We start from the raw sequence: 25,129 nt of genomic DNA on the forward strand, positions 1-25,129 counted from the left end.
CCCAGTTATAAATCCTGACCTGATTCCTTTCAGAGTTGTCTTCCCTTTGGAAGCTCCTCCAGGACCTGCACTCAAGAGGTGCCTGGATTTAGCATGGACTTCACTGCTCTCCATATCAGAAAGGGCCTGGGGATCCTTCTGGATAATATGTAGGTTTCTTCCCATCTCAGAATTTCTGTTTCCAAGTTCTATAAGAAAGAGATATTTTTGAATTTTTATTTGTGGCATATATCCTGCTTATGCCAGCAGATGCGTCAAAGATACCACAACTAAAACAGGATTTTTTTATAGGAAAACAGAATTTAGGGCCTGAATTAATTGCTGACATCATATGTACTCCCTCAGAAAATGAGCTATTCAGAAACAACTCTGCTCCCTTCTAACATAGTGCTCCCTTCTAGCATACTCTACCCTCTACAACTTCATTATTATTAAGGACACATGTACAGAAACAGGATCCATGCCTTGTTGGACTCCTTCTGTGCCAGCCACTCATGCCCCAACTAATGTTATAATCCTCCCTTTTTCACATCACAATTGGTTATTGTGCAAATAAGTATGTTCTCCCAAGAACAGATTGTGACTTTAGGTGGATAAAGATAATCATCAGAAGCAGATGAACTCTCAGCAAGCCAAGATTGAGACCTTACCACAAATGTCTTTAATAACACACAAGAGAATAAATAAATAAACACAAAGAGAAATAAAAATAATAGAACGAAAGACAAGATTGAATTATTTTAAAAGAAATCTAAAACCAGGTTTGCTAAGAGATGTCACTTATTGTATAGGATGTACTAATTGTGTGTGTTTTCATTCTCAAGTTAGAAACTGTAGCCTGTGTCTAAATTTTAAGGTTTCTCTATTTTTCCTGTACACAGACCTGTGTCCCAAAAAACAACTATTCTACTATTTTTTGCTTCTAAGTATATTTCTATGCCATTATTTATATTAATCTCACCACCTGGAATGCCTATTCTCTGCCTTAAGGAAATTCCATGCATACTTCAAGGTCCTTCTCAAACGTCGCTGTCTTTACCACATCTTAAAAAGTAAAGGAATGTATTAGTCCTTTCTCATGCTGCTAATAAAGACATATCCGAGACTGGGTAATTTATAAAGAAAAGAGAGGTTTAATGGACTTACAGTTCCACATGTCTGGGGAGGCCTCACAATCATGGCAGAAGGCAAAAGGCACATGTTACATGGCGGCAGGCAAGAGAGAATGAGAGAGCTAAGGGAAAGGGGAAACCCCTTATGAAACCATCAGATCTTGTGAGACTTATTCACTACCACAAGAATAGTATGGAGGAAACCACTCCCATGATTAATTATTTCCCACCGGGTCTCTCCCACAACACGTGGGAATTATGGGAGCTACAATGAGATGAGATTTGGGTGGGGATGCAGCCAAACCATATCAAAAAATGATGAGCAAACCATAGAGAAGTCAGATGAGATGCTGTAGAAAGACTAAGTCTGGAAATTTGGGCACTGATTTTAATTTTGAAGGTAAAGACACAGTAAACTACAGAAGGACCTGTAGGTTGTTAGATGAACTTTAGCTTAAAGCTGCCTTCTTACATATTTCAAGTTCAGTCTAAAGTTTCTCCACACATATTGAACTGTTACCTAACTGGATGTGTAAACAGACTGTAACCTCCTGTTGTGCCAGTCACTGAGTTTTGGCCAATCAAAGGTGGCCAGCTGTTCAAACCAGGTTCAAATAAGGAAAACACCAAGCCTGTAACCAAAGTATTTTCTGTATGTCACTTTCTTTTTTCTGTCCATCAATCTTCTTGGACCGTACGGTAGCACAGGGAGCCTCTCCAAACCTATTCTGGTTCAGGGGCTGCCTGACTCGCCAATCATTCTTTGCTCAATTAAATTCTGTTAAATTTAATTTAATTAAATTCTGTTAAATTTAATTTAATTAAATTCTGTTAAATTTAATTTAATTTAATTCTGTTAAATTTAATTTAATTTAAATTCTGTTAAATTAAAAAAAAAAGATAAAAGACATGTCATGAGTCTGTCAGAGAACTTTCTAGAAGTGTGTTGTTCCTTGATGGTGATTTGCTTGTGTATTCAAAATCATGCACTTTTCACCACAGCCAGTGTGCTGGTCTTTGGGTAGGTCCCTGGGAAGGCCAGGTATGGAGGGAAACACAAATAAACACAAATAAAATGTAAAGAAAACTGCAGACAGAAAACTCAGTACCTCAGCTGCAGATCTCCATTTTATGGATACTTCCTATGTTCAGGTAGTTTGTTATGCATTTTACACAATACCTAATACATTGAATCTTCATCTAAAAAACAAAACGAAACAAAAATCACTTTGAGGTGAGCAGAAGTATCTTCATTGTACAGTTGAGGAAGGGAAAGTTGAGTAACTTGCTCAAGATTCCACAGCTCATGTATGAAATCCAGGTCAATCCAGTCCTCCTCAAAGGTTTCTCTATCAGTTTCCAAAAGCAGGCCAGCTATATTCCTTCCCCACTGAGCGTGCACTCTCATTCCCTGCAAGCCCGAAGGTAGCTGCAAATTCATGAATTTGAAACTCAGCCATGAGGCAAAAATGATTTAGAAACCCTGGCTCAACAGATAATGGTCTAAAGAGAGTTGGGAGCCCTCAAACTTCTTCCCTGTCTCTTCCTGTGTTTCCTGTGAGCCTTCACCAAAACATTTAACTCTCACCTTTGAAAACTGCATGTGCTCCTCCTGTTGCCTGAAATACTCCATGGAGAACTCTTCCATAGGCCCTCTGTAAGCCTGTATGCTGTGCCCTGCACAATTGCTTCCTCTGAATAAATCAGAAACATTCTTTTTATGCATGTCTCTTTTAGCTTCAGCAGTTCACAGTACTTTAATCTCTTGCTCACATATCATGTCTCCTACTTTTCTGGGCAGTCTTCAAAAGCCAAGTACTCTCTCTTAGTTATCTTAGCTCAGTGATATTTATTAACATGCACTGAACAATTGAACAAATCAAAAGATGGATGTCTTACACATATACAAACAACTATCTGTTTAGAGCTTTGAGCGTCAGAAAAAGAATGATATCTGAATCCAATGCACAATTTTTAGAAACTTGCAATCTGTGTTTAAGACGGTAATTTTTTTTTTAAATATCCTTCTAAAAAATGAGATAAATTGAAGTATCTCTGCCCTCTTATTTTGAAAATAGGATCTCACCACTCTCATGGGACACACAATCAGAAATTAAGGGTGGAGAGGCAGTTGAATAAATATTTATTAAATTGAATTGTATGTAACTGAACTGAATTAAACTGAAAGGCAGACTTAGCTTCGGATGGAGATCATCGAGCTGTTTGGGTGGAGAGTCGACCCTAAGGAGAGAAAAGGGTTGTTAGGGGGCCTGAGCTCTGGGTCTGGACTTCTCAACCCTGGCTTCAAATTATAATCACCTGGGGAGCTCTAAAAACTTGTGGATACACGGTTCCCACCCTTAGGATATTTAATTTAATAGGACTGAAGTGAGACCTTGGATCAGTGTTTTTTAAAGCTCCCTAGGTGTTTTTAATGTGCAACCAGCCATGAGATGACTCCTCCAGAAAAAAAAAAAAAAATTTAAATGGTTACTTCCTCATACCTGCAATTCCGTAGCTGGGGAAGCAAAAAACAGAAATTTGGTCTCTGGTAGTGGGTCCACTTCCACCCCATTTCAGACTCTACAGACCAAGCTTGCCTGCAGCCTGTACCTCCAAAATGTGGAGGTGGGGAGGTCTAAGAAAGAGGGGGATCACTTGCAAATATAAGGAAATCAGACGCACCCGGTGCTACAGAAATGGGCCAGGAGAAAACTCAGCATTTTGACTGGGATTTTGTTCCAACCAAGCAACTCTCTTCTACTTTCGTTGTGTACGGTTGGCACCAGGTAAGGAGATCCAAAGAAAACACCAGGGAAATATTGTGATATTGCCACAGCTGTGCCTCAATCGGAAAAAAAAAAAAAAAAGCCTGAGGCTTCCCCTTCTCTTTAACGCTTCTTCAGCACTTTGTTTTCCTGTTTGGAAACAAATGAAACTGAAAAAGTTTCAGGATGCTTTTCTGCAATTACACAATCCTTTCCCTCCTTTCTCCCATCCAAAAGCCTGCAAAACGGCAGCACTTTATTTTCCATCCAGAGCAACTGGACGTTCCCCAGGAGGTAACGCTCCCCCTGTAGCTGCCGCCCTGCAAGAAACTCAAAAAGCACTTGACATCTACGCTTAAGCGTTGTGTTTTTCTGCTGCAATTCCAAAAACCTCTTGAAGATTTCATGTTTGTATTTTCCCCTTTTTCTGGCTTCATGCGCTCCTATGTAAATGAAGAAAGCTCCTCCAGTAGGAAAGAATGGCGCCTTTGGAGCAGTTGCTGATTTCATACACATTTGCTCCCATTTAAAGCAACTTTGCATATAACAGCATTTTGTGCTGCTTAAAGGAAATCTAGAACAATTTAAGAAGCCCTTTTAAAAATCAATTCCAATGAAGGACAAAGCAAATAAAAATGAAGCCATACACATTCATCTGAGAAAGAAATATTGCAGCTGTATTTCTGAATGTTATTAAATTTTACTTATTTCAGTCTTGCGTTATCTAGTTATTAAATATGCAACATTTTCCCTGCTAAATCTTTTCTAATGTAGGCACTTCAGGTTTGACTACCTCATCCAATTTTTATGATTATGTTTTTGCATTTACCTTTCAGTATTACTGAAACTCCATACTACCACCCACCCCAGCCGATATGGAAACTTTTTAAAATAAAATAAAGGAGTAAAATTCAGGAAAGTTATGGCCAAGGTAATTTCTCATTGGTTCTGTCTTCTCTAGGACCAGGCAGGGGAGGCAATAAAGAAGTGCCGTTGCGGCAAAGGAAAATTAAGAATACCAAAACGGTCGTTATTTAAAAGTTCATATTTTGTGAGTTGTAAAATGTTTGCATTAATTTTGAATATTACATTAAAGTATTATTTATCTTGCTTATGGAGTTTTTTGGCACACCTTTAATTTTGTGCCTGAATCCCAGTCTTGGTTCTCCTTGAAGGACAAGGAGACAGTCACATAGACTGACACAGCAGAGAGTTCACAGGTAGATGTAATGTGACTCTTTACATTGGGGTGTTGAGAATTCTGCAGCCTACATATCTCTGTGTATTGTTGATGAAGATATCCCAAACAAGAAGGTTAATGTGATTCATTTCTCAGGAATCTTGGAGGCCCTTGAAAACTGTATGAGTCTGCAGGTTGTTGCTAGAAGTAAATCAAGGTCACCAGACTAAAGAGGTGCCCTCTTAACGAAACCAGAGCCTCAACCCAGAGTGCCTGTGTGCCCTACCTTGGGAAGCAAACTGACATTTAATTTAATTCAACAACATCCCCACTAATCCCCTCCCATGGGTCAGACACTGTACTTAGTGCTACTGATATAGCTGTGAACACGATAGTCTCAGCACCAATCCTCCAGAGTTCACAGCCTAGTGAAAAATTTTTAAAAATAATATGACACAGATGCACTATGATAAAAGTAGTAAAAGAAGGAGCTGGGCGCTATGGCTCAAGCCTATAATCCCAGCACTTTGGGAGGCTGAGGCAGGTGGATCACAAGGTCAGGAGATCGAGACCATCCTGGCTAACAAGGTGAAACCCCGTCTCTACTAAAAGTACAAAAAATTAGCCAGGTGTGGTGGCAGGCACCTGTAGTCCCAGCTACTTGGGAGGCTGAGGCAGGAGAATGGCTTGAACCCAGGAGGCGGAGCTTGCAGTGAGCCAAGATCGCCCCACTGCACTCCAGCCTGGCGACAGAGCAAGACTCCGTCAAAAAAAAAACAAAAACAGAAAAGGGCCCCAGCACAGAGGCAAAGGCTTCGGATCTTGAGAACACCCTCCAAGTGATGGCACAATAAATAAAAGGAATTACTAATAATACACAGGGGATCCCTCTACTCATGCATAAAGCTAGGATTCTAAGACCCTGAAAGTGTGTGTGGCTAAGACCTCCTGCAAAGCACAACTTGAAAACATACCTCCAAAAGTCTGCATTGTGCGTGTACTGCATGCCATCTCACACCCATCAGTAGGACATGTGCTTCGAGTTGTTTTCACAGTAGTAATTATGGCTCACACTCAGCTATCTACACCCTCTAGACTGGCTTCATTGGTGACCAAGGACTCACATTTGTTAAACAGCTGGACAAGAGCAGAGGTGCCAAGTCTTCTAACAAAACAATTTATCTCACTTCAAAACTAAAGCGTATTAGAAATCAAACCTTCATCCTCAGGTTCATTATCATCAATGTGGCTGCCAGTACTATCCTATCAGTTACTTCATTATGACGACTTTGAAGCAGTTTATTTAAGATTCATTGTTGCGGTCATAAGTTGAAAGGAGCTAGAGGAAGATGGAAGAGAGGATGGTCAAGAGAAGATTATTTACTTAATTCTCACCTTTGTGTGTGGGATATTATCCCACCAGGACTCTATGGATTTAGAGAAAAAGGCTGAGTTCATTGATATGAATCAATTTAACCTACAAGGAAGGTGAAATACCTAAGTCTGAGCCTATCTCCCACAAACTCTATCTTCACAAAGTGAAATCTAGGTCATTTATTTCTTGAACTCAATAGACACTGAAGCAGATGACCCTGTCATTCCCATCTCTCATATTCCCTTCCAGGTGGAGGACAATCATTGGCACAGTGCTCTTGGCTCCTCTCCATCCTCTCACTCCCTCCGCACTGACTGGTGAGTTTGGAATGAGAATGAAGACCTCTGTCACCTCCTCTAGGGAGCAAGCTCTTAGGAGGGAACACATGTTCTCTGGTCTTCTTGTGTGAAGCCAGTGCCGAGGCCAGTTGAAAGGATAAACCTGGCTCCTTGTGGAGTTGTCCAAGAGGAAGCCACAGACACATGCCTTAGTCTTCATTCTTGGTTCCATCAATCATAAAAGTGATATCTTGATCTCCACTTCTTTTACTGCTTGATTTTCTCTCTTAATTGGTTCAGCTCTTAAGCAGGGAAGATGGCTGCTATTTCTTGCCCTATGCCTCTATGACCCTCAAATTTTCCCTTAGCATCTAATCATTTAGACTGAATCAACCAGGTAACCAATTCTAGCAGTGTCACAATGAAATGCTGGAGCTGGAAAGAATCTTCAGAAGGCTTTGAAATCAATCTCCTCCCTTTCAATGTAATAAGGTATCATGCAATAGCACTAACTGGGCACTTAACATGTCCTCCTTTGCCCAGCAATTCTTTAACATACGTCATCTATTACCAATAGTCCCATTTTGTAGATGAAGAAAGTTTTCAAATTTGAAACAGGTCATATAACAATCAGTGGATGAAAGCCAGGTTTGTTTAAATGCAGAGACCCCTAGATTAATGTAGGTCATGAGTCTTTATGTCACCAGGTGGATGCTCACATTCTGCTTAAAGATCAAAGACAATAGTTGATTGAAGGAGCATTAGAGAGCAAGGTTCATAATGACACATTTACAAGTTCAAGGGTGACTAGAGCCTTGGGGCCAGCATGTCTTCACTAAAAGTCTTTCCCAGTCTGAGCATGACACTAAAACCCTGAAACTTGTCAGTATAAAGCATTGTTCCAGCAGTAAATGCAGGAAAAAAAATGTAAGCTCTGCTGGGCAGATTGACTAGGGAAATGTGGTGCTTCTATCAGAAGTTTGTACTTTTAAGATTCCCTTGTGTTTTAGTGGCACCAACACACAAAGGGAATGAGGCCATTTTGATCTCCAATAATGAGAAACATGGCTGACTTTCAGACCTGAAACTATTTAACACAAGTTAATTTTTCAAACAAATCTGGAATGAAATGAGGGAGAAAAAATAATCTTATGATGGGAGACATCAACTAATGGATTACATTTCTTTCTTCTCAATTAGAAATGGCAGAGGGGTTTTCATTATTTTTCCTTAGCATCAAAACATATCTACACAAAAACACAGCAAATATGTTATAAACTTATTTAAGCCAAAGAGCTCGTCAACACTGTTTGCAATTATGAAATCATTTGGGGATATGGTATTTTTTTGGAAGGAATTGTTTTTCTCTTAGATGCAAACCACATCACAGCCCGTCAGACATAAATCTTTTATTGTATCTTCAAGAGCAAAAATGTAAATTGTGCAACAAAGGCGCCACTGATAAAATGCAACTAGTCCCCCAGAATCATCTGGGTGATCTCATTATTTAGGGGAGATAACAGGAAATGTCATGCTTTTAAAAATGCTCTTTTGGGGGAAAGAATGTTGAAATTAAATGCTGCCTAAGGAATTCCAAAGAAGAATTATTGGGAACTCTAGCTCCCCAATGCCATATGTTATCACAAGCACGAAAGGAAAAGGAGGCTTTTTTACAGACTTCTTTGTCATTCGGTGAGCAATGAAGGGCTTGGTAGAGATGTAATAAAGCAATATAATACACTTGATAAGAGCACAGCTTCAGAAGCCAAACTACCTGCATCTTTCTTCAGGCCCTGCCACTTAACAACTGTATAATCTAACCTATCTGTTCTTCAGTTTCTTTGCCTAAAACTGGGGAAAAGAACAAGAGACCAACTATTCTTATTAAATGATATAAATGTAAAACTTAAATATATATTCTGTAGATGTTTATTATCATCATAATTATCACCATCATTATTATCATTATGTAAGTTTTCAGCAGGAATATACGACAGAATATTAGACTTAAGTCATAGTCTAGAAGTGGTGCAGGGTCAGATAAGAGCGTCCGAAATAGGAATTTACACACTCAAAAACCAGAGCCAGAAAACCAAAAAGAAGAATAAAATGAGCTAGGAACTCAAAGGGCAATTTGGGTCATGAAGAAAAGTCCAAGGATGACAACTTCAGAACGGTGTCTATGGTTCAACTATTGTTTCTGATTCAACCTTATCATACCAGAGATATGTCATAGAATCATTCTTCCTTTGTCATCTTCATCTAATCAATTACCTGTCCCTTACCTTATTCTGGGTTCTGAAATCCTTATCTTCAGTTAATATAGAGAACACAGACCCCAGCCATGATGGACTTGGATTCAGCAGCATGTCCCCAGTTCCTGAGAGGCATGGCAAAGGGGTGATTACAAGACAAGGGCCAACATTGGGGTAAAAGGCAAATATTTTCTCACAGGAAGAAACAAAAGCTCAGAGTCTGAATCCAAGAAGATAGTCACTGTCAAATCCACAACAACTTTATGTTCATGGAGTTGATGATGATTTTACCCGGGAATTATTTTTAAAAGTCAATTTTGAGGCTTCATATGAATCACAATCCTTGGAGATGAGTTTAGAAATCTGAAAAATGTTTCCCAGGATATTTTCATACACATTAAACTTTGAGGACAACTGGACTAGAAGCTGAGCTGCTCTAGGGCACGAGATCTCAGGAAATGTAGCAGGATCAATCAATCGACAAGAACCGTAGGAGTCAGTCAATTATTACATGCATGGTCCGATCCTCCAAACACCTTCAATGCGAATTTTATTAGATTCAACACTTTCAACTCTTCACCATCTAATGAAGGCTATTAGAAATTGTGGGGAGCAGAAATAACTTGTGATAGAATTCTATTTCCCTCATTATAGAATGAAAATTTCAGTGTAGTGGTACATTAGACTCAATTGTGTTGACTGTTAAACTTTGAAGACTTGCCCCCTTTGGGATCCACCATTATCCAAGGACGATAGGATAAGACTAAAAAGTAGGAAGATGAAATTACTGCATGGGACGGTGGGGGGAGGGAGTTGCAGCAGAAATAGGAAACAGACAAACACACTAAGCCTTGGATGGTATTTCCAGCATTGAACCAAGTAAGAAATATCTCTGAGAATTTGAAAGGTTTTCAAGTGGAATAAGAAAACAATGAAATGAACTAACATTTACTGAGCACTTGTATGTGAAACTAGGTGTAGATACCATGCAGGACTTTTCTACTCTCTAAGTTAACACCTTGCCTGTGGCCCTCTCCTGAAGGAAATTGCCATGCATGTCATCCCGGATATGGTACAACCATGGCGAACTTTTGAAATAGGACATTCTATCATGCCAGGTGGGCCCTAGGCACAATAAAACACCTGACACAGGGGCAGATAAACTACTTCCTGCCCAACAGCCTATGGGGTCACCTAATTCAAAAGTTCTACTCTTACCTAGCAATTAAACAGACTACTCAGATTCCCTTGGAGATTTGTACTAAAGACGTGAGTTTCTCCTTTAATCCTTACCTTGACCTGACAGTACTAGAGATTCTCTTTTCGTTTTAATAATGAGCAGGTGGGAGCTGAGTGAGGATAAACAATATTCCATGTTAGAAAGATGTAACCTCAGATCTTTGTGATGCCAAGGCTTGCACTTGTATAGAAGATAGACCTAGAATCTTTAAAATGATGTTACAAAATGAAAATCAATAAAGAGTTCTGTAACAACTGGAACCATGCCAAAGTGAGCCATTGAAAGATCAGTGGAAGTTTCCACACAAAAGCTGGATAACTTCTGCTTGGGGAGGCCATTCTGGGAAGAAAAAGCTAAACAAGATGACTTCCACAATCTTCCAACCTAAGATACTGTAACTTATTGGCAAGCAGAGTGGCACCACATTAGGTTAATCCTTTTTTGTCTTGGCAAAAGTAAATTGTATTCTTCTTGCAGAAACTTCTACTGGCAGTGCAGTTGCCTTCTGAAAGTAGAAAATAAGCTGGGAAAACTGTTTTTTTTTCTCAGGATCTTCAGAGAAGGCTTATGGCAGAGTGGGATTATAGGAATATGCAAAGTATGATTATGCACCACAATGATTTAAAATGCTGGTAAAAGTAGGTTTATATACTGGATCTGCCTCTTAGAAGCTATATGACTTCGGGCAAGTTCTTTGACCTTTCTGAAATGTACTTCCTCCTTTGAAACAACCTACTTCACAAGCTTGTGAGAATAACATGATGCATATCCAGCATTTAGCACAAGGCACATGACAAACTGCCAATAAATGGTAACCATTACCTGTCATACAGTAAAGTTGGTTGACGGGACACCCACGTGTTTTTGAGCTGCTGTGTCACCCTAATGCTTGGCCAGAGGCAGTTCCTGAAAACTGGGTGCATACAGAAATCATGTTTGGAATGAGACTGAAGTGTCATATGTAGTCTTTCAGTTCAAAAGTTTATAGGACCAAAATGAAAAGTAAGTATTGATTTATAGCAAGAGATATGAACATCAGGTTGGCCAAAAACAGAGTTTTGAGACAACTCATATTGAGCATGTATTTGCTGGTGACCCTTAACATAGTGTTTCACACCACATGCCTTTCCATATATCCATGCCTTATACATTTTCCTCTACCTGGGCCTCCTTTATCTTTTAGCAAACTTGTTTCCCTCTTCTGAAATCTAACTCAATTTTTTTCTCCTTTTCAAAGACTTTTCAGTCTTTGCACAAAATTACTTCCTCATCAGTCTCCCAAAGCTACACCTGTCACCTGTTTGGTCCCACTCAACACTGTAATTTTTTTTTTTTTTTTTTTTTTAGATGGAGTCTCGCTCTGTCGCCCAGGCTGGAGTGCTGTGGCATGATCTGGGCTCACTGCAAACTCCGCCTCCTCGGTTCACAACATTCTCCTGCCTCAGCCTCCCGAGCACCTGGGACTACAGGCGCCCGCCACCACACCTGGCTAATTTTTTATATTTTTTAGTAGAGACGGGGTTTCACCATGTTAGCCAAGATGGTCTCGTGATCCACCCGCCTCAGCCTCCCGAAGTGTTGGGATTACAGGCGTGAGCCACCGTGCCCGGCCTCAACACTGTAATGATTTACTCATGTGTCTCCCTCACTAGACTAAAAGTTTTCAGGAGTAAGGACTGTGTCACATTCATGCTGATAGGCCCAGTGCCCAGTACATTGCTCGGGATATATTCTAGTAGTACAGGAAATACATTTTTATTGAATGAATAGTCCCAGTCAAGAAATTTCTATGTTTCATGCCTCCACTATGGGCCAGGCACTGTAACAAAAGCTTTAGATGCAACATCTTTTTTGAGTGAGAATGGATCTCACAGAGGTTAACTACCTAAGCTCAAGCAGCTTACTGAGGGCAGAATCTCAATTTGAACTTTTCCTTGTCTTTCTCCAAAGCCTGGATATTTTCCATATGTTACAAAGCCTTCATGGCTGGAGCAATCTCAGTATTAACCAGAAGTATCATTTACAGGTTTGCTTTGACTTCTCTCGTTTTCTTTTCTTTACAATAAACTAGGAGTTATACCCTTCATTTATTAGAAAGAAAAAAAAACAAAGCAAACAAATTATTATTTCAATTTCCTTCTTCTAGACAAACTCAGTTATACATTGCTGTGATGAAAAGCTTAAGTAAATGTGTGATTATCCTATAAATAATGCACAAGCTGGTATCCATGCAGAGTAAAGCTTAGTTCTCTACTTTTGGGGTTTTAGAGTAATAATCAAATCTCTTTTTCCCCAAATGAAAAATAGATATATGAGTCAAACAGAAGATGAACATATAAGGTGTATTTCCATTAAAGCTAAATTCGAAAACAAAGCTTGGTACCACACTAGATCTCCTTTAGCCGAAGGTGGGTACCAGTGCACCCACTCCAGCTACCATGAGTATTGACTGCGTAACATCTCGTAGATGACTCCCTTATCTGAAGAGTTGTCCTCAGCTGATGGGGCTACTTCATCTGAGAAGTTAAAAGCCCACCATCCACTCCCTGCCCCATCCCCCACAGCCCATCAGCCCTCTTGTTTCAAAAACAAGAGACTGTGCCCTGGTCTCTATGTGCTGGCGCCTTCTGCTATGGATCAGGTGCACTTAAACTGAGGCCACATCCTTGTTTGCTCAGCTCTTCTCCCTTTCCTATTCTGCTCACCTCCCTCCACTGTGGGTTTTTCTGCTGAGCACTCTCAATAAACCACATGCATGTAAACCCTCGCCTTGGGATCTTCTTCTAGAGAGCCTAACCTAAGACACTTGGCTTAGATTGAGGTTACAATCAGGCTTTCTAATTCTACCACCCATATGCACCCTGAACTTAACTTCATGCCCCCACCCAAATCATAGGAACAGCTGGACACCAGCAAGGATACCCTGGTTTTCACAGAGAAGGAGAGGTCAGAAAGAACCCCAACGTGTTTTTCCTACACTTCTCCCTTCCTGGGGAGCAGAGCAAGAGTTTCCTTCTGACTACACACAGAGCCTTTGTGTGAAGTTGGAGAAAAACACCCGTGATGGTGGAGCCTACCCCAGTGTGGGCACAGCTTAGTGACACAAGCATAGCTCAATTCCAGCTGCTCTCTGCCTCCTGTCCTGGTTGCTCTGTGCTGGACTAACTTGAAGAGCAGTGATGAAACTTCCGCTCGCTTCTATGGAAATATGAGTCAGGGATAAGCTCCCCTCCTCACCACCCATATTGGGAGGAGCAAAAGCAACAAATAGACAAGAAAATATTTAATCTTGCAGTTCAAATCTTAGCTTGCCCACATATTATCAGTGTGAACGAAGGCAAGCTATTTCACCTCTCTTTGGCTTCACTTCTTCATCTTTAATGTAGTGATAATAAAAGTATATTCCTCATATGGTTGAGCGAAGATTAAATGAGTTAATACATATAAAGTGCCGAGAGTAACCCCTGACACATTGTAAGCTCTTAATAAATGTGAGATCCCGTTGCTCATCATAAACGCACATGGGAAACTCGAACTGTGCACCCCACTCATTTCGGAAGACAAGGCTAGGAAAAATGCCACCCTCCGAAATTGAAACAGGTGAAACTAATCTGTGATAGAAGCGATTGCCTCTCTAGAGAAATAGCTCCATCTTAAGAAGATGGTTCGTAAGCTGTTTTCTTATGAGAAAATGCAGACTCCCAAAACTCTAGCTAGGCAATCCAGTTACCAGTGAAAGCAAAGCTCCTAAAGAATATGCTCAGAAAAGTAATTGATGTGTAATAATTGTTAAAGAAAGTTATGGGCATCTCAACTATGCTGTATATACTTACCAAATAACATGCTTCAATAATATTATCTTTGGTGGCTGATGTAGGAAAAGTATTGGTTAATAAGAGTTTGCTTTGCTTATCCAGTATTGTCTGAAGTAGAAAAAAATGCATTTGGTGGACAGAAGTATCCTAGTTACAAGGAAATTATACTCCACAACAAAGTAGAAATAATTCATGGGGCTGTAATACTAATAGAGCAACACATTACTATTATAGAACAGTAGTCTTTTCAGCAGGCTTCCAGACCAGCAGCATTAGCATGACCTGAAGACTTGTTAGAAATGCAAATTCTTGGGCTCCATTCCTTGAGCAGAGACCCTGGGAATGGGGCTCAGCAATCTGTCTTTTATAAGACTTCTGGGTGATTCTAGCACACACTAGAGTGAACCAAAGGGGCCGGGTGTGTTGGCTCACACCTGTAATCCCAGCACTTTGGGAAGGCAAGACAGGTGGATCACTTGAGGCCAAGAGTTCAAGACCAGCCCGGGCAACATGACAAAACCCTGTCTCTACTAAAAATACAAAACTTAGCTGGGTGTGGTGGCACACACCTGTAATCCCAGCTACTTGGGAGGGTGAGACATAAGAATCACTTGAACCTTGGAGTCAGAAATTGCAGTGAGCCAAGATCATGCCACTGCATCCTAGCCTGGGCAACAGCGTGAGCCCTTGTCTCAAAAAAAAAAAAAAAAAAAAAAATAGACTGTCTATATTTCTGTGCTCTGATTCTGTGCTCAAAGGCAAACTTGGGGATGATTAATTTGATTTGACAGGTGCTGTGATACTAGAAAGAAGTAGCATGCTTAGTGTACAAGAATAATCTATCCACTAGAAATCTATCTCTTTTTCCCTAAATAATTGGCCTGCTGGTGCACCATAATTTTTTGGAAGTTTTATTAGTATGGGACAAATTCCAAGAGATTAAAAACCCTAAATGAGCTGACGAGCTTCCTTCTCAACCCGCTAAACCTCCTGATGGCATGTCTCTCAGTTCAGCTTCTTAGCCATTACAGTCATCTCTGTTGAAATGAAACTAAGAAAAAATAAATAAACTGAAGCAGGAGGGGCAGAGACAAAAAGATCTACATCTCACCATTACTGCCACCAAGCACATACCCATCCCCTAGAAGAAAATGTTATAAGGCTTTGACCAAGAAGAACCAATACTAACTCTATTACCTGCACCTGTTTCCAAAACCACAGCACACAGTAAAGTCAATGGAAAAAAAGATCCAGCTTGTTTGAAAACATGCTTATGATCCAACACTGAAAATACATTTAAATTACACATCTGCATCTCTTCCCCAAATTAAAATGGGGTCTATATAGTGTTTCTCTTCCAAGTGAAAGTCTAAAGTGTCTGCATGTGTGTGCTAGCATGTGTGTACCTAACAAAATACTATTTCAAAGTAGCTATATTTATTTCTAATATACATAATAAGGGTCAATAGTATCAGGATCTTCACAGGTAAAAGATAATTAGTGATGTCTTTGCTGTTTTCTCTGATGAGAAGGAAATGAAAGAGAGTGGTGGAGGATGTTGAAAATGCACTATTTTAACTAAATCTGTTACATCACATTAGTTTATTTCCCTTTGAACTGTGTTTTAATCAAAGCAGGTTGATTTCCACTTCATGAAAATGTTTCATTTCAAGCCACTGGAGTTTTATGGGTTATCTACCACATTTTACTGGAGGCTTGTAAATCTTATGAAATTCTGGAATGTCTAGACCATAAAAACCTGTCATTCAAATGTGTTTTCTGTGGAGATGTTTCTCCCCTATGCAGACTCACAGGCTTTGCAAAGATTTGTGGAGGGAAACAAAAAAAATCCTTTAAGATATATCCCACAGTTCCTGAGTTAAAAGATCACCGTTTCAGTTGACTGGAATTTCACCTGTCACAGTCTAACCCTTTGTAGAACTATTTACAAGACTGAAGGCTTTAATAATAATAATAATTTTAAAATTCTCTCACTCTTTCCCTGTATGCCCCTGCTTTCAATCCTTTTAAAGTCACATGGTACTAAATGCACTTATGAGAATTCTAAAGCCAGTGATGATTACTGTCATGAATGAACATTCATCACTGTTATTAAAGGGAGTAGTTGTGCTAGTAGCTGAGATCCAGCTTCCAAGATTGCTGAATAGAGTGCCCCAAATACAAACAAATACGGCAGCAAGGAAAAGATGGTACGCACTTTTAATAAAACAGAACCAAGTTCCTGAATGCTATTAAATGAACCACTCCTTTCTTCTCACAATGTTTATCAATTTGGCCTCAGAGTAAACAGAAACAAATTGGCATTCTTTTCTATTTATTTGTCTAAAACGTTGAAGAGCGCTAATCATGCATGAGATTTCTAAATCTCATATATTTGATTTGTACTATGATTCCTAAAGCTATTTGCATCAAGCTTCTCAATCACCTATGTAAACAGAGTCAATGCATGGGTGAACATTGATGAATGAATCCAAATATTTATTTCATGATAATTTTATGAGTTTCATGTAAAGCCACTTTTCTACCCTAAAAATTAACCCTGCTTTCACCTTCTTCAGATGGTTGGTGTCTAAAGTTAGGGAGGCATTTTATATCAGAAATTAATTCTTTTGCTGGAGAAGAGGGAGTAACGGAGAATCTGCCACTGGACAGCAATCAGAAATTATTCACAGCAGCTCAGAGGAAACCACCATGTCTCTGTTAAGATATATGAAAAGTTGTTTTAGTCTCTAAACAAGCAACCTTTCATATGGGACACTTGTGGGTATCCACACTGGAAATAGGTGTGAAATACCTGAAAATACGCACGTTAATTCAAGTATTTCTGAACCAGAATACACAACTAGTACTATGCCATTTTCAAGCCCAGTCTTTCCTCTAAGGATGTTGCCCAGTGATTTGGAATCGAAAGACCTAAGTTCCTGTTTTTTTCTCTGTCACTTAACTTGCTCTTTGACTTCAAATCATTCACCACTTCTCTGAGCCTAGTTGCTTCATTTGAGTTGAAATATGGTTTACAGTTATAAATCTATTCGTCAACTAATTGAATAGATCACTGAAGGGCATCTCGGATCTCTTAAAGCCAAAGACCTAAAGCTCTGGAGTGGTGTTTGAACATGGAGTGATCCAATGAATTGCTGTGTGATTAACATAAGAATTGTTAATATCATAACTCTTAAAAATCAACCCCATAAGTCAAACACAATATGAAAGCAATAATAATATTAAAAGACATTTATATGGTACACTACATTGAATTTGATATTGTGCCAGCTCTTCACAGTTACCCATTGCGGTATCACATTTAATGAGAAAAACAAGTTGAGAAAGCTTACATAAATTGTTTAAGATGGCGGAAAGTCACAGACTAAAAGTCCTCTGATTTCTTATAGATGAAAACCAAAGGAAGAGGGACAAGAAATTAAGACGTGTTTATCTTAAGACGAGAGAGACAAAGTCAGATCTCTTGAAGACAACCATATCTGCTTAATGCCATATGCAATGTGAGTCCCAAAACATGTTACTTTTATATTAAAGAGGGAGTCTCAGATACATGGGTAATCTTGGTTTCACATCTTCTGTGAGACTCACCTATTTCTACCTACATGTAAATACAGTGTGTCTGTCAAAAAAGCATTGTAGTATATTGGAAACATATATTCTGCAGTTAGAAAACTGAGCTTGACATTACCATTCTGCCACTTAGTAGTCATCTGTCATTTAATTTCCTAATCTGTCAAATGAAAATAACAACACTGTAGTTAAAAGCATATGCAAACTACATATTTTATATAAATAGACATTATTACTAATAACAAGAAATAAAATAATAAAATATATGCAGTAATAATGTACTCCCTTTCAATATCTATTTATCTATCATCAACAAAAATAGAAAATAAGTTACATCAACTCAAATGAAGGAAAAAAGGAAAGGAGCTCTATATGAACTAGGAAAGGTCTAAATTAGAAAAAACTTTTAGAAAAATTAACATTTTTCAATACTACTTCAAGTCTGGAAACTGCAAAAGAATCACTGCTACTAAACTCTTGAAGAATAAAAATTAATGAAATTCTATTGTATATATGAAAAAGTATTTATGGCCCCCAAAAAACCATATCAAATAACTCTAATTTGGAAGTTTGGGAAGGGAGAAAAGAAAGTATCTTGGAGTAGTCAAGTAAATAACCATTAATACAGTATTAAACTGGGTTATGAAAAACACAAGAAACACAGTACTAAAGCAGCTTCACTAATTGCACAGTAAGACTTTGTGTAATGCATGGCCTGTAATTATTACAGACCCGAGGTAAGGTGTGTGCCAAGGTGAATGTCAGAAAAGAACAAATACCTAACACCACTTAGAATTAGCATACACATAAACTGGGGCACTGTAGCATGGGAAAAGGAGTGTGAGGCAAGAGTGAACAGTGGAGAATTAGAAAAGGAACGCCGAATTTCAGTCTGTTAATGATACAAAAAAAGAAAAAAAGAAGTGTAGCCCAGACTCTCAGAAAGTACAAACTGCAAAGTAAGACACCATGGGTATATTTTTTAGCTCCAGCTAAAGAAGTGGGAACTCTGTGCCAGATCCTGGTTTCTAGTTCTTTGATCATTTTTCCACGATGGAGAAAAATCACATGTTGGGTTCTCCAAGCCTGCTAAGATAATGCTTAGAAATATCCAATTGACTTTGAATCACCATATTCACCCAACACTCTCTGTAACTGTAAAAATAAAGGAAAACAAATTTAACAATCATTGTCAACTTTTGTTGAGCACTTACTCTGTTAGACAAAAATAACCTCCAAGATCATCTTATTTTTATCTTTCCACTGGACCTTCAAAGTGAACTTTATTCATATTTTAAGGATGAGGAAACCGAGGCAAGGGATGTTGAAGGAATATGTCCAGATAGTAAACAGTGGGACTGAAATTCCAATCTAGGCGATTTTACCCTCGACCCCTCATTCTTGTTCACCATGTCATTCCACATCTCATACTGCAATTTGTTTCCAAATGAAACCAAACATCCAAAAAAGAAAATGTTCTCCATAGAACATTCTCAAGTTATATCTTTGGTCACAAAGTAAGACATCTTTCTATGTGGATTCTGGTTACTATCATTTGCTTCTGTGAATACGAGGCCTACATTGGTTCATTGGCCCAAGATGTAGTCATACCTTTACGAAATGACATTTGAGTTCCCGGATCTGGTAGTTCTCTGCCAAAATACAATAAGGTGCCCTCACCTAAATGGCCTCCCCCAGTATGCAGAGACCAAGTAATTTATTAGTAAATTCACAAATTAATTAACATTTAAAGTAGTACAATTTGTACCTACTGCATGTATACTTTAGGAAGGACAGTAGTAGAGAAACCACAGTAGTCCAAAAGCTTTGTCTACGTGACCAGGAGATAGAGTCCTCAGTGGTTAAGAACCTGCCATGAACTTGGTTCTCAGATAAACCCAGACCTAAAGCTCATTTCTACTACTTGCTGGCTGTGTGGTCTTAAACCTCTCAGAGCCCTGGTATTCACACATAAGTAGACTAATAGTATCCACCTCTAAGGTATTATAGACAAAGTTCCTTTTTGTAACAATGACTGGAACAAAAAATACTTGTTGTTTGGTATTATTACTATTATTATATATTGTATTCTTTCTATATAATCTCTTAAATATTCTTACAAAAAAGAATCATTTACAAGAAGAGATTAGAAGAAGCAGTCCCAATGAATTGCAAAAGTATTTTAACAACTTTTTATGTTTCATGAAAACAGTCAGAGAAAAATACTCTACAAAAAGATCAATTATTTTGCTTCATAGAAAAGACTGATAATTTAAACTATTCCCCCCTTTTCCGTTTTCCATCAATAAACCTACATGGACATGAGCCCGCATATGCCAGTGCATGATTATGCCCAGCTTGATATAGTTTAGGTATCCAATGTTATCACAGATGTTTCAGCCCTTGAGACATATATTATATTGCATGTCCATAAAATAAGACAGAAAAACATCACATTCTGACAAACCTGGCATCATATGCACTGACTATTGGCATTTCCAGTGCAGGCACTGTCTCTTTAAACAAGTTTCACATTTAAACAGACCTCACTGAATCTGATGGTGCCAGAACTTCACCAGCTTGCCTCTGAAGAGCAAGACAAAACTTTCTGAATCAGATAAGACACAAACTGTATTTTTCTTCCACAGGTATTTGTTCAGGAGCTGATTTCCTTGGGGGCAGCAGAAAGGGCTTAAGTTGCTGACACTCACTACACCAGTTAGAACCAAACAACGGGGTTTCTCATTCCCTTCAAAGCATAATTCAGAAAATGTAAAAGAGCCTTCCAAGTTCAACACTAAATATAATAATAATAATACACCACCATAATTTAGATCAAAGCTTACATATTTTGACAATGCTGTTGGAAGAGTTCCAATGAAAAGAAAAGTGTTCAGTCATTTAGAAGACATTTACCAAGCATCTACTATGTAGGAGGCTCTATTCCAGGCTCTGGGAATATAGTGGTGAATAACACAGATGATAAGAGCTGCCTGTGCAAAACAGTCCTTATTTTTAAGATGTCTTCTAGGCCCTGGCCTTGTGCATTAGCTGAGGCAGGGAGGCAAGTGATGGCCATCATAAGGCATGGACTTTGGCGTCACAATGACCAGGGTTCAGTTCCTAGCATCCCTGTATTGTAACGTTGGCCAAGTTGCTTCACCTCTCTGAGCTTCCTCTGGTGTCAGATCAAGATATTAATGGCGCCCTCCTTAGAGAACTGTTGTAAGGATTAGCTACTTCAGACTGTCACCTAGACAACAGTCAACAAAAAGCAATTTATTCCATTCCCTTGTTCAAGCCCAGTTATCCTTACTGGATAAGGAAATATGTAAAGACAAGACGTGGAAGTAATAAGTGGGTTTGTCTCTGAAATCAAGGTGGGCACTCAAACAATTAGGCAGCATTTTGATATTTGAGTCTTCTATTAGTAATTCAGGAAGCTGTAAAAGATGAGCAGCACACATTGCCTCCTTGTTTTATCCTTTAAATTACTTTAATCAGTGATTCTTTGAGAAGCATAAAGTCAAAAAAAAAAGAAATAACAAAACTCTGAGATATCTGAATCTATAAATGCTTACCGAAAAAACAACAACAACAACAACAAAAAACTGCCATGATCTGCTGGAGACCCACATGAAAACTTGGATACTGCTTTCTTCTCACAAACCCTTCCCAGTTTTGAAAATAAAGCTCAAACACTTTGCCTCCGTTCAGTTCAGCAAAGGTAGCAGCTTAGACATAAAAGTGCAAACACTGGAGGGGGAAAAAAAAAAAAACAGCCGTGGCTGGCTGCCAGCTCTTGGCCAATCAGTCTTCACAAGGAAGGTTGCGTCAGAGGCTTTGAGCCTGCTGGAACCTCTGCAGCTGCCTGCAACACAAGCTTGGACCACCCAGGCCGAAGTGGATGGGCATCTGGAGAAACGCGCAAACAATGGAGAACGTTAGAGTCCTGCATTTCCAAGCCAGTGATTCTGTCCCTAGGCTTAGCTGGGACTTTGAGAAAGTCCTGGGCTAAAAAGAAATCTAATATAAGCTAACTGGCCCTACTATTAAATTGCTGTCTCAGGTCAGCAGCATAACCCCCAGAATGGAAAAATATTTTTTCAGTGGAAAATCACCCGTCTCAGTATTCATGGATCTAGTTTTCAACGGGTGTTGGGCTCCCACCCAATGTAATTAACATCTTACCTGTGGGTGGCTGGTAGAATTGCTTTACACCTCTCTCATCAACCCAGCACCTAACACTTCCTGAAATGCAATATACAAACAAATAGGAAATTATGTTTCTGAAAATAGACTATTTGGTTGGGGGCTCTCTGGTAGCCCCTCAGTTCTTCTCTCAGCAAATTTATTTTTTCTAATTTAAATGTCAGAGAACAGGCCCACATCATTCAAAGCCTTGCTCAAACATAAGCCATGCCAACTTGTTATAATTACAATGAGATACAATAGCGGACGTGGGGAAAGCCTAATTAAAGAGTTGGACCTGGCATCCCAGATGGAAAGCAAAGTACGTGGCCTTCTATCAGATCTGAATAAAAACCCTGCTCACTGATGATGGATGTCTCTAGGAAACACACACCCTCCCAGGACCCAAAGTACAGATGCTCGGGAAGGAGTAGGAGAGAAACATTCTGCTAAGACAGAAACTGAAACTAAAACCCGGGGGGAAAGCACTCATGCCTGCATCCCAACCCCAGTGACTCTGATTTAATAGGGTCTGGGGTGCAGCCTGAGTGCCAAATTTTTTTAATTCTCCAAGTGATAGTATTGTGCAGCCAAGATTGAGAAACCCTACAAAATATTCCTTAGATAATGACCTCCACTTTAACAGAATATTTAACTAGGAAGTCAGTGTATTATGGCAGAGTAATTTACCAGATCTAACAGAGCAAAGCATAGCAATAATTTTCTACACTGCACTATAAATGTTGATTGTGCCTCCTGAACTAGACTGGAAGCTTCAAGGGGGTGTTTTATCTCCAGCTCCTAAGAGAGGGATGTAGACATAGCAAATAGAAGCATTTGCTCAATCATCAGATAGATGCTTAGAAAACATCATACTGTCTGGATGTTTAAGCAGAAAGACAAACTTTACAGCCACCGTTTTTTCTACAATCCTCTAAAGCATTTATTTTTCAAAATGTAATGTGCATGAGAGGCTTACTAAATATGTAGGTTCTTATGCCTCACCTAGAACCTAAAGAGATACTCAGAAAAATTCAGTCCAGTTCAGCAGTAACTGCACAAGAATTCCTCCATTGCCCGGTACAACCCGGGAACAAAACAGCCCAGTGGCATATCTATATATCTGAGATGAGAGTCCACAAACAACCCGCTAAACAAGAAAAACCTCCTTTCATCTAAGTTCTTGAAGCCAAAGATACATCATAGGTTAATTATACAAAGGGCATGAAAGAGTTGTGTAGTTCACTTCAATTCAACACAGAGAGAGCTGCTCTTATAGATTTAACATAAGTAGTAAAAAATGGGGTGGAGTGAAAATTCTGGATTCGGTGTGGGATTCTCAGCAGTAAGAGGCAGTGTTTCTGGCTGAAAGCTACACTTTATACTCAGTGAAGGGAATCCAGATGCGTTCCCTTCCAGAGTTCATTGCAGGGCTTGAATTGAAGCTGCATTTCTTGTTACCTTAGGTAGGCTCTATAGGAGCCAACTTTTAGGAAAACCAACAAAGCAAGTAATCTTATATCCTCAGAAGAGATTAGGCAATACACTGTGATATAGAGTTCCAATATCATCGTGAAACACAAAAGTCTCTGCATGCAGTTCTTCCTCTAAAGTGAGTATGACCCCAGGGTGGAAAAGGATTTCTTTTCTTCAAGTAACAGGCTTAGAATTTAATGGTGCCATTATACAGATTTCCTTCAAATTCTAGTCTAGTCTCATACTTGCTGTGTGACTTTGGCAAGTTACTTAACCCATCTGAATCTCCATTTATTCATCCTTGCCATGGGAGATTTTTGCTTATTGCAGAGTTATTGTGAAGTTGAAATGTAAATTACTCAGCAGAGTTCTCATATTAACTGATGAGGAAAAAGAGAATTGCACCTTCTGTACCTTCTGCTGGTCCTAGGCAAGGTGAAATTCTTCATGCCCAGTTGTCTAGTCACAATCCCTGTGCTTTCTCTACAGTTGTTTTATTTGAACCACTGAATTGTTTTCTCCACCCTTCTTTATTCCTGCAGAGAAAACTCTTCAAAGAACTACAGGGGGCCGGGCGCAGTGACTTATGCCTGCAATCCCAGCACTTTGGGAGGCTGAGGTGGGCAGATCACTTGAGATCAGGAGCTCAAGACCAGCCTGACCAACATGGTGAAATCTGTCTCTACTAAAATACAAGAATTAGCTGGGTGTGGTGGCTCACGCCTGTAATCCCAGCTACTCGGGAGGCTGAGGCAGGAGAATCGCTTGAACCTGGGAGGCAGAGGTTGCAGTGAGCCAAGATCACACCACTGCACTCCAGTCTGGGGGACAGAGCAAGACTCTGTCTCAAAAAATAAATAAATAAATAAATAAAAGAAATATAGGGGAACAACCCAGCATCAGCCCACATGAAACTATTAGGTTAGCTGCTATAACAAATAAACCACCAAGTTTTAACAGCTTAACACCTTAAGAACTGAGCTATCTACGTAACAGTCCAAAGCTGTTATTTCTGATTGGTGGGTAGTTTTGCCCATATGGTGATTAAGGGACCTGTTCCCTCCACCCGTGGCTCACCAGCCCCTAGACCTCAAAGGTTTCCGCATTCACTGGCAGACAGGAAATGACAATAGAAGAAGCCCAGCCTGTATCTTAAAAGCCCTGACCCAGAAGTTAGTGGCATTCCATCTGGTCTCATTCAGTTGGTGAGAAGAGTCTTATGGCTACCCCTAGAGAGAAAATAGAAGATAAAGTCCCTGACTGGACATCTCCTCCCAGCAACAACTCCACACTATGCAAAGCAGAATACAAACTTTCAGTGGATTGACATTCATCTCTACCAAAGAGCTCTTTTCTAATTCACATGAAGGTGATTTCCTCCTTGCTAAAGCCCTGGAAATCTAAATTGGAAAGAAAGTTAGAAATCTACTGTGACATGCTACAAATGCAGATGTGCCACAAACACCACAGAATGGTCATCCAGCCAGTGCCAGATCATCATGAGAAAGTTTTGTTAGAAAAGTTTTCCTTTCATAGTCCCAGGTGAGCCATCTGTTGCAACCCAGGGTAAGTATACGCATGTACCTCATCAGACCTCAGTCCAAATAAATGTAGCTGTCTGTAGTCCTCCTTTTTCCCCACTAAATGCTCATAGTTGTTCAAATGTTCTTCATATACTATGGTTTTCAGACTCTCCACCATCATGTCTTCTCTCCACTGCAAAGTGCATCATTTGTCATGGTTCCCGAAGGATTAAGACCCCTGCCAAATGAATACAATACTCCAGACGCATGACTGGATATCCCATTTGGTGTCATCTTTTCTAAGTTACACTAATGGGGCTCA

The 25,129-nt window shown here is 39.4% G+C and overlaps 1 long non-coding RNA gene across 2 annotated transcripts; it reads left to right on the forward strand.

Annotated features, from left to right (window-relative positions):
• Positions 1 to 3,690: 3,690 nt before the first annotated feature.
• On the forward strand, positions 3,691 to 23,903 carry LOC105375711 (uncharacterized). Of its 2 annotated transcripts, XR_928550.3 has the most exons (4): positions 3,691 to 3,901; positions 6,685 to 6,752; positions 17,437 to 17,547; positions 23,827 to 23,897. It is a non-coding gene; the product is annotated as an uncharacterized LOC105375711 (long non-coding RNA). The 2 variants fall into 2 exon arrangements; XR_928551.3 differs by lacking the exon at positions 17,437 to 17,547 and having other exon boundaries at positions 23,827 to 23,903.
• Positions 23,904 to 25,129: the final 1,226 nt, after the last annotated feature.

The sequence above is a fragment of the Homo sapiens genome, chromosome 8 (assembly GCF_000001405.40).
Source record: "Homo sapiens chromosome 8, GRCh38.p14 Primary Assembly".
NCBI classification, from domain to species: domain Eukaryota; kingdom Metazoa; phylum Chordata; class Mammalia; order Primates; family Hominidae; genus Homo; species Homo sapiens.